We start from the raw sequence: 19,770 nt of genomic DNA on the forward strand, positions 1-19,770 counted from the left end.
CACTATAACAAAATATCTGGATATTACAAAATAGTCAGAAAATTGATTGAATTTCTGTTAACAAGTGCAATAATGAGTTTTGATGTTGAATCATTTAAGCCTTGCATTATTGAAGACAAAGTTTTACTCAATATTGTTCTTTTTTAGCAAGAAGATTAGCAGCTGACATGTATACTCTCTGCCCTTTTTTCACTTTTTCTTATTCCACTGAAAATGCATTCATACCTACACACTCATGCACACACAAAATCTCACAATACACTTTTAATATTTTATTCTGGTACTTGCATCTCCAGAAACACCCACTGTTTATTTCATTTACTTCACAAAGGAGTGTATTAGTCCATTGTTACATTGCTATAAAGAACTTCTCAAAACTGGGTAATTTATAAAGGAGAGAAGTTTAATTGACTCACCGTTCAGCAGGGCTGGGGAGGCCTCAGGGAACTTACCATCATGGCAGAAGGTGAAGGGGAAGCGAGGCACCTTCTTCACAATGCAGCAGGAAGGAAAATGAACTCAGAAGGAACTACCAAACACTTAAAAAACTATCAGATATCCTGAGAACTCACTCATTACCATGACAACAGCATGGGGGGAAACTGCCGTCATGATTCAGTTACTTCCACCTGGTTTCTCCCATGATATGTGGGCATTATGGGGATTACAACTTAAGGTGAGATTTTTGGGTGGGGACACAGCCAAACCATATCAGGGAGTCACTTGAAGTTAGAGATAATGTTGAATTTATTCCATTAACATTTATCTACATTTATATATGTATGTTTATATGTATACATACATATAAATACAGATATATGTATGTTATAAATTATACATAAAATGGTATGTACATATATGTATTTTTATATTGTAAGATATATATTAGAAATATAACTATGTTAAATTCCCTAGGTAAACACATCAATTTTTACTTATTCAACTCAAAATAAAGTGCAAATTTTTAATGCAGTCCACAAGGCCTCTGGTTGCCACCTGTGTTTCATCTTGCCCTTCTCTACCTCACTCAGTCTATAGTTGTTCATTTCTAGCATTACATCCACAATAACCCTCTTTCTGTTTTCTAAACGTAGAAATGCTTTGTTCTCTGCCTTGACTGCTTCTTTTACTTCCTGAATTCGATCTCAATTTTCTTTTCACTAAGAAAATATGATCTAATCAGACACCTCCCCATCCTTGGTCAAGTTGCTCTATTGTTGTACCCTTGTATTTCTCTTTTGTGCTATTACAATTATGTTAGATAATCTTTATTTGTTTACTGTGTATTTCAGTTTCTAAGATGATTAAAACTGAGACCGTGACTGTATTGTCAATCACGACAATTTCATCACCAAAAACAATGAGAAGTTCACTAATATTAAGAACTCAACAAATATCTAATAAATTAATGTGTTTCTCAGCATCTGTTGAGCATCATAGACTTTTGAATATTTATATGACTGTTTAATGAACAAGTGAGAAATGTGTAAATAATAAGGACTCAAACTAAAAAAGAGACCTCACTCATGAAAATATTATGGCAATCACAAATATTATAAAACAAAATCTTTAAAAACAAATGAAATTGCCAATCTCCTTCTCATGAAAAGTGTGAGTGAAAAAATCCTCACCTGTGACCTAGGAAACTCAAGCCAATAAACTAGAGGTAAAACAAGGAATCTCTAAAATGTTCCACTTGAGAAGTTAACCCAAATACAAATTAATAATTTTTTAAAGAAAACTAAATAGATAAGGGATAGAGTCAACATAAATAGAATTCAAAGAAACAAAAAGCGGTACTATCATAGGCTTGATAACCTTAGATACTGGGATACTGGAATGGTTAGGTTAAAGCCGGAATATAAAATGAGCAAGAATAAAAATGAATAAAAATGTAAGGCATTACATATAAAAATAAGGATCAAATGGGTATCAAAAAGGACAAGAACCAGGAATAGTTGGAGGGGAGAAAAAGGATTTTCCGAAACAAAAATTGTGATTACTGAAATAAAACTGACCAGATAAATAAAATAGATGACAAGATAACTAGTAAACTAGACGATATATTTAAAGAAATTATTTTCAAATGTAACTGAAAGACAACTTAAAGAAAATAGCAAAAGAAATTTAACAGGTGTAGATGGCAGAATGAGAAGATATAATATATATATAACAGGAATGAATTTCATAAGAAGAGAAAATAAAAACAGTAGAAGAAAGGCAATGTTCGAAAATATAGTGGCTTAGCACTTTGGGAATTCTTTAAACACTCAAATGACCTATTTGGAAACCACAGTGAATATCAGAAAGATATAAAAAGATATCACCCATACATATTGTAATAAAATGTCAGATCACCAAATACCTAGAAAATGTCTTTTAAAAATATTAGAATTTAAAGATAGATAACTGGCATAAGAAAATAATTTGACCTTCTAGGCACCTTGACCTCATAGACACAATTTGACTCTAAGACACCTTAGTTAAAGACACAGAAGTCAGGTAATGAAAAATTCTGACAAAAATAATCCTCAAACCAACATTTTGTACCCTGCTAATTTATAATTCAAGAAAATGGTGAAATAAAGATAATTTCAGTTTAGACACAACAGACCCTTGGTAAAATGTATACATGCCACTCAGCAAAGAAAATACACATCTTTTTTCAAATATGGACCAGTAAAAGTGACATTGCTCAACAAAAACAATCTGGACACATTTTAGAAAGTTAACAGCATAGTCGATAACACAAATTTAATAAAATTAGATATCAGCAATATAAAGCTAGCACTAAAACTAACTGAAACATTTAGATAGTCACAAACACACTTTTAAAATGATTTATATCAAAAAAATTAAATTTAAATTTACAGAATATTTAGAACCAAATATTGGCCTGGGTGAAGAGAACATAAGGTTCAATGACCATTTATAGTACAATACATTGAAATAGTAATGAAAACTACACTCACAAAAAAGAAACAGAGTCAAAAGGTTTACAATGTGAATTCTACCAATGCTTCAATGAAGTGATAATTCCTTTTTATACAATATATTCCGGAGAAAAAAATAGTAACAGGAAGAAGCACTATTTGTACTGTGTTTTCAGTGTAAATTCAGTTACCAAAATGATGAGGAAAGGATAGGAACATAAAAAATTATCAAATATGAGCAAATCAAACAAAGTAGCCTATCAAAATAAATTTGAGTGTTTTCAAGCATTCAAAAAAGGTTTTACATGTTAAAAACTATGATTTTTTTACTATATTATGAAACAAAAAAGAAAATCCATATAACCTCTGTATTAGGTGAGAAGACATTTATTACATTTTAACAGATATTCATGACTTACAATAATCAAAATGACTACAAATAATTCTAAGTAACCCGAAACAGATGGAAACAGTTTTTCCTTGATAAACACAAAATGTAAAGAGTGTAAAAATTCTTTCTTTAGAATTGTCAATATCAGTAAACTACATTATACATACAGAAAAGCTCAATAACTTTTCAACAAGTGAACATAAAAGAATGTCACCAGAACCCCATTAGATGTCTGAACATCCATCAGATACCTAGCAAGCTACTGCCAGCAGGCCTTCACTCTAAATAAACGCTAGCAGTATACTGACTTTCAAAATAATAAACTGGTCATGCTAATCTTAAAACTTTACGTGACAGAATTATAAAATACATGAAAATTTTTCTGGCTTCCTTTGATGAAATAAATGTAAGAGTCATCCTTGTTGTGAACAATTGCACCTTATTATGTCCATTGTTTAGTAGTCCATTTTATAAGTATATCTCAATGTCCAAGCCCAGTGTTTGACTATTGTGACTAGTTTATGATGCATAAATGTATGTGTATTTCCTGGCTGTATTCCTAGGAGTATAAATTTTGGTTCATAGGGTATGCCTGCCTATGTTCAGCTTTAGTAGATCTCTTGCCAAAGAATTTTTCCAAACTGGTGGATTGTAAGAGTGAAGAAAGTCCTTAACATCCTTATTGTCTTGGCATTTTTTGTCTTTTTCATTTAGTCATTCTTTTGAGTGTGTAGTATATTGCATTGTGGTTGAAATGTACTTACACATTCATTTTCTATTATTTTATTAGTTCTCCAATAGATTGTAGAGTTTATTTTTAAAGTAATACAATTTAACCCAAATTATACCTTTACTACCTTTCAATAATGCTGGAATATTAAAACATGATAACATAATTTTCCTGGTTGTAATTTTTACAATGATTTCAATTTCCACATATATTTTAGACCTCACGATATATTACTATCACTGTTTTAAAAGTCAATATTCAAACAGTGCCCATTAACTTTATGCACTGGTTTACCTTTTTCGTTGTTCTTTATTCCTTTCTATAACCATGTTTCATTCTGAATATATTTTCGCTAGTCTTTCTTTCAGGTAAAGTTCTTCTGGTGACAACTTCTGTTGTATTTAGTAGAAAACTTATTTATCTCTTATGGGAGACATTTTTGCTAGGTATGAAATTCCAGTAGGCTAACATTTGGAACTTTAAGTAATTCAATCAATTGGCATCCAAAATTACATACTTTTGTTGATAAGTTGGCTTTTATTCTTACCATTGCTCAGTTATTTATTTTCCTCTCTATTTTTAAGATTTCTCCTTTAATTCTACTTTTCATGACTCAGCACATTCTGTTTGAAGTTTGGCGAGCTTTTTGAACCTGAATTCATGTATTTCATATGTTTAGAAAACAAATGCCATTTTTAAAATATGATTTTTTTCCATTATTTTCCCTCTCTCCTTGTGGAACACAATTACGTGAATATTGAACCTACAATTACTCTTGTGTCTCGATTGCTGTTTCCAATGTTTTTAATCATATTTTGTCTTCTCAGTATATTGTTTTGGAAGTTTATCGTGACCATTTTGCAGTTTTATGCGCTTGCCTTCGATTATATTTTATCTACTTTTAATTTCATCTAACAAATTCTTGTTTTTATATTTTTTAAAGTTTTTTTCTTTTAATTTTTTGGGTACATAGTAGGTGTATATATTTATGGGGAACATGAAATATTTTGATATAGACATAGGGAAAGGAAAAAGAGTGGGAGTTGCTATACTTAGACAAAATAAATGTCAAGACAAAAACTATGAAAGACAAAGATGGTCACTATGTAATGATAAAGGTATCTAGCAAATTTTTAATTTTAGATTTTATATTTTGTAATCTAGAATCACAATTTCTGAAGCCTAATTCTCTAGTGAAATTGTTCACCTTTTCATCTACTTTCTGTAACACTTAACATTAGCAACAGTTATTTTAAAAACCTTATCAGCTCATTCTAATATCTGTATTATTATGGATCTTTTTCTACTGTCTTTTTCTTTCCTTATTTTACATTTTGTGTTGCTCTTTTCTTTGCATGACTAATGTATTTTAATTGAATAACAGCATTATGTATAGAAAATTGTAAGGACGTCATATGACAACCATAACATATTGCTGTAAATGTATTCAAAGTAAGGTGAATATACATTACAAATATAAAATATCACTACACATTCTCTGTATTTTATAAGCATATGTTTACAAATATATATGCATAAAAAACATCTGGCAGAGTGTTCAAATGGTTAATAACTGGGCAAGTAGTAGATAACTAGTTTGGAGAAAAAGAGAACTTTAGCCTTATCTGTAATAAATCATTATTTTTTAAAGATATTATGTTTGTTTCTCTTAAGAATACATTTATTTTCAATGTCTACAAACACTGTGAGCAGTAATCTGTGCTTTCATAGTAGAAAACTATCAAAAGGAACTATGTTCTTATTCAAAATTCAAAATGCTGAATTTAAATTCTGATTTTACAAAAAGATAGCAAACCAATTTTTAGTGTCTATTTGCATTTTATATAGGAGTTTATAAGAAACTATAAGAGTTTCCGCAGGAATATTAAAATTAAAAACATGAAGTAATGTGTCATACAATTTTTTAAATGACCATACCTTTATCCTGATTGTAGATTTCTTAACTTCACAAAATAATGTTAATGCTTCATTTATTGTTGAGCAAACTGAGAAGCAACAAATTTAAGGACTTTGTTTTACTTTAATAACTCACTAATTACTCCTTTGTTTATTCTTCTATTCTGTTTTCTGCTATGGTAGGAGCCCCATAAGTACAAGTTTTTAGCCTTTAGTTAATACATTTTTCATGCCTACCAAAGTGCCTAGCCTTTAGAAAGTAATTGATAGATATGGGTGAGTAAAAATGTAGATGTGTGATATTACTCTCATACTCTACTGAACATTTCTGAAATTCTGTGGTAGTAGGTTTTAAAATTCAGGGATTTTATGTATGTTGCCACTTTTGCATAAAAAGACTTTACTTCATTCTGCAAGGATGACTTATTCTAAACTTTAATTCTCCACTTAAAAGTTGTTTCATAAAAAACTCACCAATTCTCAGTATAAAGTTTGTCTCAACACTTATTGTGACTTTTCTTTCTTTCACCACTATATATATATGTGTATAGACACATGTATACACCTGTATGTGTATAGACACGTGTATACACCTGTATGTGTATAGACACACGTGTATACACCTGTATGTGTATACCTCACTTGTGCTTTCTTGTTCATTATATAAAAGTCTCTCATATTGCACCATAATGACATCTGAATACATATTTTGACCAATTTAATTATTATTACATTCTTAGCACTTACATTGGAGGAAGGCTGAAGACTTTCATCTAGATATTCTGGTTATCATGTGAATTTGCTTCTTTGTAGAAAAAAAAAGCACTTATATTTGTGTATGATAGAGTGTATGATGGAATGCTTATCCCAATTGCTCTACTTTTCATGGCCCTAACTATATTTGCCAACAAGCTCTATTTTCACTGACAACAGAACATTGTAAAAAGGAATACACTTAGAGATCTCAGCAATTCTTCCTAAGCAATTGCCAGCACCACTCAAAGGGAGTCAGGAGTTCAAGACTTAATGCTCTAATAAAGCCGTACATTCCAAAGTGAGTCATTTACAATGATACCGCATCATCAGTAAAATGAATCCAGATATCCTATACATTGTGGTGAATAGTTTCAAATCTCTTCTCCCTGAAGAACTCCCAGTGAAATGAAGCCAAATAAAACAAATCCTGATTTTTCACATTTACTGTTATTAAAGAAAAGAACAAAGTAGTGCCAAGGGGAATGAGAGAATAAAGCTATGGCTATTCAGTTGTGAAGAAAGTAAATTAATAAAACTAACCTCATTTTCTTTTTTACATGCTTTCAGTAGATGTCCCTGGAGAATAATTCCCTTTATGGAATAGAATAAGGATGGGAGAATAGACTGTGCAGCTTTGTAACTGGGTCTTTTTTAGTAATATTTGCCCTCAATGTGTCACAAGGAACTAATATGTCATCCTGTTTGCCATCTAAGGCTTGATTTCTTTTTCTATGGGCTGTTCCTTTTTCATAATGTTTACTAGAAATTTTGGTAAATATTATATTCTCATTAAATGCACTACATAAAATGTCATCAGAGGGAAGAACAAAAACAACATTGTGAGTATACTCAAGAGAATTTTTTAAGTCATTAAAACATATATGATACTCTGGGCTCATGTGATATATTCAATCTATCTTTTGCTATTGCTGTGTAAAAATTAATTCAATATGAAAAAAAGCCTTTATCTACTATGACAAACTGTACAACCTCCAGGCTGTTCACCTGCCACGAGGAGGATTTTTCATTTGAATGGCTAGCTGAGTGATAGACGTGCAGATATTTTCCAAGCTGTCTGGCTAGCTGTCTTTTCCTGTAGTGGATTCCATTTAAGAATTAGTCCAGCATCATTCAATAGCATGCTATATAGGAATACACTTTTCTAGCTGGATAGATAGATAAATATGCATACACACATATTTCAGTTTTTTAAAAAACACAGAATGGAGGCAAGTACTTCAGCAAATAAAATATTTTTATCTTAATTCTAATCTACCAATAATTTCCATCTAAAACATCTCTTCTTTCTTAAGTTTCAAAAAAATGAGCATTAAATCTATCTGTATCCGACATAAGCCAACTTATTTATGGAATAAAGAAACTGTCAATTTAGTTTATGTTATTCCTGTATTCATTTATAAAATAATGCATTTATAAACTTAGTTTACCTATATAGTTTCATAATCTACTGTCTTGATAAGTCAATACAACATTTTTACTAGTATACATTAAATATGATTCATTAAGTTTCTATATGTTCATTTTTCTTTTAAAAAATACCTTTCAAAATGATTGCATATGAAAAACATTCCATTTGAAAAGTAATTTTTAAAATTTCAGTTACCAGTTAAAACAAAAGATGTGGCTTCTAGATAATAAACAATAAAATTGAATTTAGCTAGCAGGGTTACATGGAGAATTAAAAATTATGAAGAAATATTCTATTTTTAAAATTCATTTTAGGAAAATAACCCTTTTCTTCATCATTGTACAATTAATGACAACCTTTCAATTGTCAAACATTCATTAAAAAACAATCATTATCAAAGTTGACAGAAAATGTTGATTCCTAGGAAAGTTTCATCCCACAAAGGATTTGGAATTAGATTTTCAAACAAAATCTTAATTGATTTTTAAGCCAATGACCCAGCAAAAATATTAAGTCACAGTTCAGGAATTATTAATCTAAAGTAAAGTAATAGCAAGTAGGTCATTTTGAAGTATATGTACATATGTATTGTACATGTACAAATTTCACTCAGGTAGTGACTAAAAGAAAACATTTATCTGTGAAAAATGAAAAACATAGAGGTGTTTAATCATAAAGAACAACAAGAATACTTCCTGAATTGTTTATTTTACTCAGTCTGCCTAACTATAACTTGCTCTAGTAATTATGACTTTATGCCATATTAACACATGCAAATAATGCATATACATGCATATACATTTACACATATGTATTAGTCTGTTCTCACGCAGCTAATAAAGACACCCCCAAGACTGGGTAATTTATAAAGGAAAGAGGTTTAATGGACTCACCGTTCCACATGGCTGGGGAGGCCTCACAATCATGGCGGAAGGCAAAGAAGAAGCAAAGGCACCTCTTACATGGCTACAGGCAAGAGAGTTTGTGCAGGGGAATTCCCATTTATAAAACCATCAGATCTTATGAGGATTATTCAATATCACAAGAACAGTACAAGGGAATCTGCTCCCACGATTCAATAATCTCCAACCCGCACCACCCTTGACACATGGAGATTACTATAATTGAAGATGAGATTTGGGTGGGGAAACAGCTAAACCATATCAACATACATATTAAATATGGTCAATTATAGGCATTAATCTTTTTGTTGTTTGTGTTATCCTATCTTTGGCCAGTGGGACTTCTAGTGTCCTTTTGTCAAGAAGCAATTATTTTTCAATAGTTGCTTGTTGTCTACCATACCATATCAATAAATTTTATATTACCAGCAAGACATGGAATAAGCCGTGTTTCCAAATGCCTTTGGTTTCTTTTAGTAGGAAATGTTATTTTAAATATCTGTGGATGGTCATTGTTCTTAAAATGTCATTGATTTTAGTTACTCATTTGTTTTCAATGGAATGAGCTTTCTAAGACATGTTTTTAGAGAAAATATCTTAATCTCTACTGATAGTTCCAAAATCGTTCAAATTTTAAGTCATAGATTTTTTGTTTTTCTTAAACTGTGAGGTTTTGGAAGGACTGATAGCATGAGTTAAAACATGTGGTTTCAATTCCAATACTTCTATTACTTTTGAAGTTCCTTACCTTGAGTAAACCACACTGTTCGGTATTATTTTCCACTGCTGTAAAATGGGATAGTATTGCTTACATTGTAGGATTATTTTTAAAAGCCAGCAAAAAAAGTGTAATTTCAAAAGCAAATCTTGGTTTAAAGTTTTCTCAATCAGTCTTCCTACATTATTCACATTTTTCTTCCTCTCCTCATACTTATGTTTCCCCTAGTTATTTCATTTTTTTGCTGCATTTATTATTTAACCAGTCTTAGATGCCAGCACCCATTTTTAAGTTTGTTCCATCAAGTCTTCCATTACACTAGATAGTAATATCAGTTAAATTAAGGTCTGTGTGGAATGCTTACTTTAAAAATGCTTGTTTCCTTTTAATTTAATTTAATATTAGGAAACATTTGCTGAGAACTTCATACAACCAGGAACTGATCTAAATATTACAATTCATTCAATTAATCTTTAAAAATCCTTTATGAGTTAGCAATGTTATCTTCACCCATGAGATTAAACTTATTTTATAGTTTATTTCCTTCAACTTGGCTTTGCATTCTTATTCTTTTATCTTATTGGATACTCAGCTTTTTTATACTAAACATTGTTTTTTCCTTTTAGAGTGTAAGGCTCCCATGTTTTTACATCCCTAGAATTTAAGCAACCAATGATAATATATATTCAACATCATGTAGTTCTAAGTATTTCTGAAATTCAGTATTATTTTTAATTGACTTATGCATCATATATGTTTCATTTTGACTTTCCAAGTGAGCTTTTGTATCTTTTAAAAATTGATTTTTAAATTAGTTGTATTAGGGTCAAAAAATAATTTCTATGTTAGCAATCTATTCTTTTTTTTCTTTTTGTATTGGCTTATTGAGTCAGATGTGTTAAACACTGTCACTCTGAAGGTGCATTTATTTATTTATTTATTATTACTTTTTAAGACATGGGATCACGTTCTGTTGCACAGGCTGGAGTGCAGTGGTGTAATCATAAGTCACTGCAGCCTTGAACTCCTGGGCTCAAGCAGTCCTCTTGTCTTAGCCTCCCAGGTAGCTGGGACTACAGGTGCACAATACCATGCCTAGCTATTTTTTTATATAATTTTTGTAGAGACAGGTGTCTTGCTTTATTCACCAGACATGTTTTCAACTCTTGGCTTCAAGTGATCCTCCTGCCTTGGCCTTCCAAAGTGCTGAGATCATAGGCATGAGATACTGTACCTGGACAATTTATTATTATTTCAATTTTTATTTTAGATTCAGGGTGTATATGTGCAAGTTTATTACTTTGGTATATTGCATGATGCTGAGATTCGAGGTATAATTGTTCCCATCATCCAGGTACTGAGCATAGTATCCAATAGGTAGTTTTTCAATCCTTGTCTCCCTCCCTCTCTCTCTCCTCTAATAGTCACCAGTGTCTATTGTTGCTTTATTTATTTATTTATTTATTTATTTATTGAGATGGAGTTTCACTCTGTCACCCAGGCTGGAGTGCAGTGGCGTGATCTTGGCTCACTGCAACCTCCAAGTCCCATTTCAAGTGATTCTCCTGCCTCCGCCTCCTGAGTAGCTGGAATTACAGGTGCCTGCCACCACACCTGGCTAATTTTTGTATTTTTAGTAAAGATGAGGTGTTGCTATGTTGGCTAGCCTGATCTCAAACTCCTGACCTCAGGGCAACCGCCTGCTTCAGTCTTCCAAAGTGATAAGAATACAGGCGTGAGCCACCATGCCTCGCTGATTGTTGCCATCTTTATTTCTATGAGTACTCAGGGTTTAGCTCCCACTTACAAGTGAGAACATGCGTTATTTGCTTTTCTGAATTAATTTGCTTAGGATATTTATCTCCAGCAGCATTCATACTACTTCACAGGTCATGATCTCATTGCTTTTCATGGCTGTGTATATTCCATGGTGTATATGTAGCACATTTTCTTTATCCAGTGCAGCATTGATGGGCACTTAGGTTGACACCATTTCTTTGCTATTGTGAATACTGCTTAGATGAACACACAACTGCATGTGTCCTCTTGGTAGAATAATTTATTTTCCTTCAGATATATACCCAGTATGGGATAACTGGGTTCAATGGTAGTTCTGTTTTCAGCTCTTTGATAAACCTCCAGACTGCTTTCCACAGTGGCTGATCTAATTCGCATCCCCATTAACAGTGCATAAGCACTCACTTTTCTCCAAAGCCTTGCCAGAATCAGTTGTTAATTGACTTATTTATAATAGCCATTCTGACTTGTGTGTAATGTTAACTCCTTGTGGCTTAGATTTGCATTTCTCTGATAATTAGTGATGATGAGCATTTTTATATGTATGTTGGCCACTTACATGTCTTCTTTGGAGAAGTGTCTGTTCATGTATTTTACCCATTTTTAATTGTTTTTCGTTTTTTTGCTTGTTCAATTGTTTAAAAGTTTCTTATAGATTCTGGAAGTTAGATGTTTGTAAGAATCATAGTTTGTGAATATTTTCTCCCATTCTGTAGGTTGTCTGTTTACTCAGTTGACAGTTTCTTTTGCTGTGCAGAAGCTCTTTAGCTTAATCATGTTCCACTTGTTTATTTTTGATTTTATTGCAGTGACAACAAATTTTTTGCAAGGATGATGTCCTGATGCTGTTTCTTAGGATTTCTTCTAGGATTCTTATAGTTTGAGGTCTTACATTTCAATGTTTAATCTATCTTGCATTAATTTTTATATATGGTTAAAGGTAGGAGTCCAAATTTCCTTCTACATATGGCTAGCCAGCTAGCCCAGCATTATTTATTGACTATGCAGTCTTTCCCTCATTGCTTATTTTGGTCAACTTTGTCAAAGATCAGACAGGTGTAGGTGTTTGGCTTTCCTTCTGGGTGCTCTATTGTTTTACAACATCTGTGCATCTGTGTGTGTGTTTTTTAAATAATCCCTATGTTTACATATGTTTCAGTTTTGTACCAGTACCATTCTGGTTTTGTTACTATACTTTATAGTACAGTTTGATATGAAGTAATATAATGCTTGTGTTCTGGATTGTGGGGTTTTGTTATTGTTGTTGTTGTTTTGATTAAGATTGCTTTAGCTATTCAGGCTGTTTTTTGGTTCCACATAAATTTTAGAAGAGTTATTTTCTAATTCTGTGAAAAATGACATTGGTAGTTTGATAGGAATAGCATTAAGTCTATAGATTTCTGTGGTCAGCGTGGCCATTTTAACAATATTGATTCTTCCAATCCATGAGAATGAAATGTTTGTCCATTTGTTTGTGTAACCTATAATTTCCTTCAACAGTGTTTTGTAATTCTTGAAAAGATCTTCCACCTAAGTTGATTTTCATGACTTTGTATCTTCAGATCACAGCATAGTGACTGACATATACTTGGCTCCCAATAAATATCTGCTAAATGAATGTCTCCATAAATTCAATACAATTTTAAAAATGAGTAATACGCCTTTCAATGAGACAAAGGTAAATCAGAATAAAAAATAATTTTAAATATTTTGTATACTTAAAACATATAATATATAATATAAGGAATCAAGGCTGAGTTTGCAGGACACAGACCAAACAATATTGGCCTTGACCCTTGTTAAGTTATTAGGCAATTAATAGAAGCTAAGGATTTTCCACATTGAAAGAAAGTCATTCTTCCCACAACTTTCTCTATATTTCTCTATAATGCACGTTTGGGTACATTCCTCTTCCCTGTAGGAAGCTCATTCCCTCCTAGAGAAATGCAAATTAAGACACAATAACAATACTTTCTTTGTGTTACCTCACCATATGGAGTAAAGTATGTGCTGTTGTTTTGTCAACTGTAGTAATGAATGCTCATCAACACAATTGGGATTAACACCAGTCTTTTTAAAAGTCTAGTCTATGCTAGTCCTTAAAAATATTCCTGAAGTCTTTCAATAACTAAATATAAGCATAAGTGACTATTTTCCGATTTTATGTTTATATTATTGAGTTGAAATTATTGTAATAAAGTATATAATATTCAGATGCACTTGTAGCAAAGTGATTACATAGAACTTTCAAATCACATCTTGACAACTTTTTCTCCTTTCCATGATAAATTCTTGAATATTATTTTTACATGACATCTTCGTAACCACATACAGTTTGTAGGAACTAATTATCTGGTAATTTCTTGGCAAATATTTAGATTACACAGTTTAATAATGAGTACTAATTCATTTCATCACAAAATGTTAATTTTAACAACCAAGTAAATACACTATAATTAGAAAGCCATGATTCTAATCACATAAATGCAATATACATCTTGGTAACTTCGGATTAATATCACTAAGACAATATTAACTCACACAGATTTGATATTAATCTAAGAGCCTCTAAATTTACTTTAAGTGAAAAAAAACTCTAAACATTTTTTAGTGAAAACATCAACAACATTCTCTGAAGTTATGAATATAATAGGGAATAAATAATTTTAAAATATTTATGTTAACTTGTATTTTTGCATAAAATATAAGCAGAATATTTTATAGTGATATGCTATTGATAAGTTTTGATGTTAGAATTCTCAATAAGGGAGGACCAGTTCTTGTGGTCACCATGGAAAAATGGTATAGACTCCCTTTTAATCAATAGGTTAGATGTCAATACAATGATCCAGACACACAACAAGAGGGTATGAAAAAATGTATTACCCCATAGTAGGACTTTCTGTGAAGAACAGGGCAATTCATAAGGTGGTAGAGAATTTGCTTGAGTGACTTCAGGGAATGAAGGAGCAAGTGACTGTAGTCTCACTATGATTGGGAACAGGGTGAGAGCTTTCAAGTAGACAGGTGCATGCTTAGCTTGAACATCACACAGCAAAAAGGGAGAGGGTGTCATGCTTTCTTATTTTTTTGCCTAGAAGGGAGACTAGGGCAGAAGACAGGGGAGTGGTCCTTGAAAGCTGTCAACACTCACACATAAAGAAAAAGTTAGACTATTACACCAGCTTTCAAAGGGAAAATCTCTATTCGATATATTTTCAATAATTACCTGTCCATCCTCTATACTACCAATGGAATTATTAAGTCTCTTTCTCATTAAAATTCATTTTCTAACTCTCTTACAGGTTTCTGGCATTCTTCAAAGTTGTGAAACAAGACATATTATCTGTGTGGAGCTCCTACATAGTGGAAAGTTGGACAAAAATGTAGAGAAGTAAATAAATAAATGGCTATGAAAGTAGACGATTGTTATATCTTAAACATAAAATAAATTTGGGACCTATAATAGAGAGTATTCATAGCCTGACTAGGAGGGTATGGTCAGAAAAGACTTTTCAAGAGTGACTTCTTCAGTAAGACCTAGATAACAAGTCAACCATGCAAATCTCTGAGGAAAGAGCATTCTACCAAGAAGCAGAAACTAGTGCCACAATCCTGAAGCAGAAAAAGCACTGCAACTTTAAATACAGTTGTCCCTTCTCATCTGTGGTTTCACTTACTGTAATTTTAGTTACTTGTGATCAACTGCAGTCTGAAAGTATTAAATGGAAGATCCCAGAAATAAACAATTTGTAAATTCAAAATTGCACACCATTCTGAGTAACATAATAAAACCATGTCACCCAGAATGTGAACCTTCCCTTCATCCAGTGTCTCCACACTGGTTCCACAGTGTCTCCACAGAGTGTCCACACTATACATGCTACCCACTTAGTAGCCAGCTTGGAAATCAGAATAACTATATTAAGTTGTCGTGTTCAAGTAGTAATGGCTCCAAAGTGCAACAGTAGGGATTCTGGCAATTCAGAAAAGCCAAAGAGAAGGTGAAAAATCCTACCTTGTTTGTTAATCTCTTACTGTGCCTAATTTATAAATTAAACGTTATCATAGACATTTATGTATAGAAAAAACATAGTATATATGAGGTTCAGTACTATCTCTGGTTTCAGACAACCACTGGAATTCTTGAATGAATACCATGGGATAAGGGGAGACTAATGTACAAAGAAAGTCAATGTGGCTGAAGGAGAGACATATCAGAAGATGAATAGGAGAGGATGAAGAAAGTCAGAAGGCACTTTATGTACGAGCTTGTAAAGTGAGATCAGAGAGAATTTTATTCTAAGGCTAAAGGGAAGGCACAGATATTTTTAAGCAACAGAATCAATGATCTACTTAATTTATTATGTAATAATTATTAGATCATATTGTTTGCAATTTAGAGAGTACAGAGAACAAGACTCAAATAAAAAGGACAAGTAAAAGATCAGTCTTGAAGACTATTAAATTGGTTCAGGACAAAATGTGTGATGGATTTTTCAAGGGTGGTGGTTAAGATACACAGAGAGTGGAAGGCTTTGGTTTGGCTATGGAGGCTTTCCCCCATTGCTTACTTTGGTCAACTTTGTCAAAGATCAGACAGTTGTAGGTGTTTGGCTTTACTTCTGAGTGCTCTATTGTTTTCCATCATCTATGTATTTGTGTGTGTTTTGTTTTCTAATAATCCCTAGGTTTACATATGTTTCAGTTTTGTACAAGTACCATTCTGGTTTTGTTACTATATCTTATACTACAGTTTGATATCAAGTAACGTGATGCTTCTGCTCGGGATTGTGGGGTTTTGTTATTGTTTTTGTTGTTTTTGCTTAAGATTGCTTTAGCTATTCAGGCTCTTTTTTGGTTACACATGAATTTTAGAAGGGTTTTTTTCAAATTCCATGAAAAATGACATTGGTAGTTCGATAGGAATAGTATTAAGTCTGTAGATTTCTGTGGTCAGTGTGGCCATTTTAACAATATTGATTATTATTGTTAGGTTTTTTAGATAGAACTGATAGAATTGATTGAGCTAGATAAAGAAAGTAATGAAAAGTGACTTTGTTTTGAGTGGGTTTTTTTGTTGTTTTGTTTATTGGCTTGAGCTTATAGATGAGATAATTATGCCATTTACTGAAATAGGAAAAGGGAATGGGAATATGAGAATCAAGAGTTTCCCTTTGGGGATATTAATTATAAGATAAATACTAGCTATTCAAGGACAAATAAAGCATAAACCTACTTATAAAAATCTAACAAGCTTAACTTCAATTTGCAATGTTATTAGCAGTATTGAGTGGTTATTCACAAAATAAAAATAATGAAACCAATTCTTCTTAAATATTATTTTTTTATTTTCAACGAAAAGATTTTAGATGAGGGCTTTAGTTGTATCAAATAATGTATAATCTTGTACATATGTACTTAAATAGCATATTGAAGACATTAATGTGATATGCAAGTGTGATATGATATTGTGTATATCTGTACATAAATTTCTATGTGCATGGTTTGCCAATCTGATGGAATTCACTAAATAATTATTGACCATCTACTATGCAGTAGATATAAGTAACATATAGTGAAAGAGCTTGTAGTTGACTTATTGTTTTTTTTCCTGTAAACTTAAACTTTGGTGATTGCTAATGCATCACTTGGATAATATAGTCAATCATTTAAAATATATTTAGTCTGCTAATTATTTTCAAGTGTGTTACAAATAATTCAAGGCAAATAATAAAGAGTCCTACTATATTCAAATGCTTATTCCAATGCATGTTAGGATACTTGCCTTTTCCAAAGTCATTTCAAAGTATTTTGCATGAGTTCAATTTTATTTTAAGACCTGCACTAATAATACTATCTGGCAGTAACTGCTTTGGATCACAGTGGATCCTCCAAGATTTATGTTTTACCTTTAGCTATAAAATCCTTACAACATCTATTTTTTCTGGATAGTTTTTATATTATCATTTTTAGCCTCAATCCAGAATTATTCCTTGTAATGTGAAAAAAGTTATAAGGCAATTTCCACTCATCCGGTTCTTATGGAGGATAGCAATATTCTTTATTGCTAGAAGGTATTTTTATCTTTGTTTATTCACCTTTTCTTTCTTGTTACTGTAAAGGTCTTAAACCATTACCAGAAATACAAGAGGGAAGGCATTTTGAGAAGACATTATGTAATCATTGTAACTTCATTTGCTATTAAGATTCTCTTCATGTGAATTATATTAAAAGGTGCATTTACTCCAACACAATCACTTATTTCTTACTTTCTACTTATAGCACCTTTCCATACAGGTAATTCAGAACAAAGAGGCAGTCATAAAACATGTCCTGTTTATTACAAATTAGAAAAGATGACATATTTAGGAAATTCACAATGATGCAGACAGATTTTTGATATAATGCAATATTATTATTATGCATTCTTTGAGGATCTATTATGTATCATTTCAAAGTAAGATATGAGTTTAAACTAGAACAAAATATTTTGGAATGGAGTGGAGTGGGTGAAATACTTTCTGTAAGTAAAGAGTTGTCAAAATTCATGTAGGGTGAATAAAAGAATGTATGTAATTTGAAGTTCCACAAATCTCCAAATTATGAAGCCTCATTCTCACAGCATATAGAAACAAAATAACAATCAATAATATAATACTGAAATATAATTTCAACTCTGGTTCTAAGATTATGTTCTCTAGTAAATTATATGGGTAAGACTAATAATTAATTGCATTAATAATATTAATACTGATGTGCCAATTTGCAATGTCACTAACAGTAGCGAGTGGTTATTCAGAAAATAAAAATAAGAAAACCAATTCTTCTAAAAGCTTATTTTTCTTTGCAATGAAAATATTTTAGATGAGGATTTTAGTTTTATCATATAGTTTATAATCTTATATAATTTGTACTTAAGTAGTATATCAAAGGCATTGATTTTATATTCAAGTGCGATGTAGATATTATGTGTATGTGTACACAAATTTATATATGCAGGGTTTACCAATCTGATGGCCATGTGTAACTTGCACTCTGTGGATGTATTGAGAATATCCAATATGTTAAACAGACCAAGATCTTTTGCCTGTGTGGGTTAGAAATTAGATTTGGAAAGCATAATAAAAATTGCAACATGTTCCTGTTGTTCAGAACAGAGAAAGATTGCTTCCTATTGGTTGGTATTTCAGAAGGCTATGTTTAGAATACAGAATCTGAGCCAGGTCTTGCAGGATAAGTGGGATTTTAACAAGCATGTATATTAATTTAAGTCAATAACAGAAGTATATCAGAGTCATGATGAAGAACATTATAGAATGGCAAAAAATCCAAGTTATTCGTATGTGAATATAAATACTGAAGACAAATATTGGAAAAGGAATCTGGAAATAGGTTGTGTTGTTTTAGTTTATTTAATGATGCTTTGTTAAGCTGAATATAGCTTGGTTCATTTTGGATTAATGTATTATTACTTCTTTGCTTTTTAGTTTTGTCATTAAAATTTCTATTAATAGTACTACTTGAAGATCTAATAAATGCAGACAAAAAGTACAATATTAAGTATATAATTCTGCCATATTTGAGTCAAATTTACATATATTAACAATGATTTATACAGTTAACAATAGTATAGCTATTATTATCCTAGCCTGATACACCCTTGAGCCCTCTCAGCTCCTTGATTATATATCACTCTCTAAAAGTTGGATCAAATTCTACCATTTTAAAAAAGCACTCTGGGACCTAATTTTGTATTTGACCATCGAAAGTATTTTATTATCTCACTAACAATAGAGCAATATGCCACAGAATGATGTATAGAATAGCGATGTGTGCCTATAGAAACAGACAACACAAAATTTAAATTATTATGAAGAATAGAATAATTACTCCTTATGAAGAATCTTGCAACTTAATAAGCTGCAGCTGTAAAAAACATTGCCTAATTGGCTATATCAGGATTTTTTAACAAAATTTATACTTTGAAGCATACTATGTAAATATGTAAGTATCTAATGCATGTATTTGTGTGTGCATATATGTAAATATGAATGCATGTATATATATACATATGTGTTTGATGTCAGAAGTTCCTCAGGACCACTAGTGTCCCAAACAGTACAATTTAAACACCTTTGCCCTTGGTGAAAATATGTATCTAGGAGAGAAAATAATAATTATCTAGACCTTCAGA

General features: G+C 31.6%; 1 long non-coding RNA gene across 1 annotated transcript; it reads left to right on the forward strand.

Annotated features, from left to right (window-relative positions):
- Positions 1-524: 524 nt before the first annotated feature.
- LOC124903237 (uncharacterized) lies at positions 525-15,337 on the forward strand. Its single transcript, XR_007063923.1, has 2 exons — positions 525-676; positions 14,879-15,337. It is a non-coding gene; the product is annotated as an uncharacterized LOC124903237 (long non-coding RNA).
- The last annotated feature ends 4,433 nt before the right edge of the window (positions 15,338-19,770 follow it).

Source organism: Homo sapiens, chromosome 13, assembly GCF_000001405.40.
Source record: "Homo sapiens chromosome 13, GRCh38.p14 Primary Assembly".
In the NCBI taxonomy this organism is placed as follows: Eukaryota; Metazoa; Chordata; class Mammalia; order Primates; family Hominidae; genus Homo; species Homo sapiens.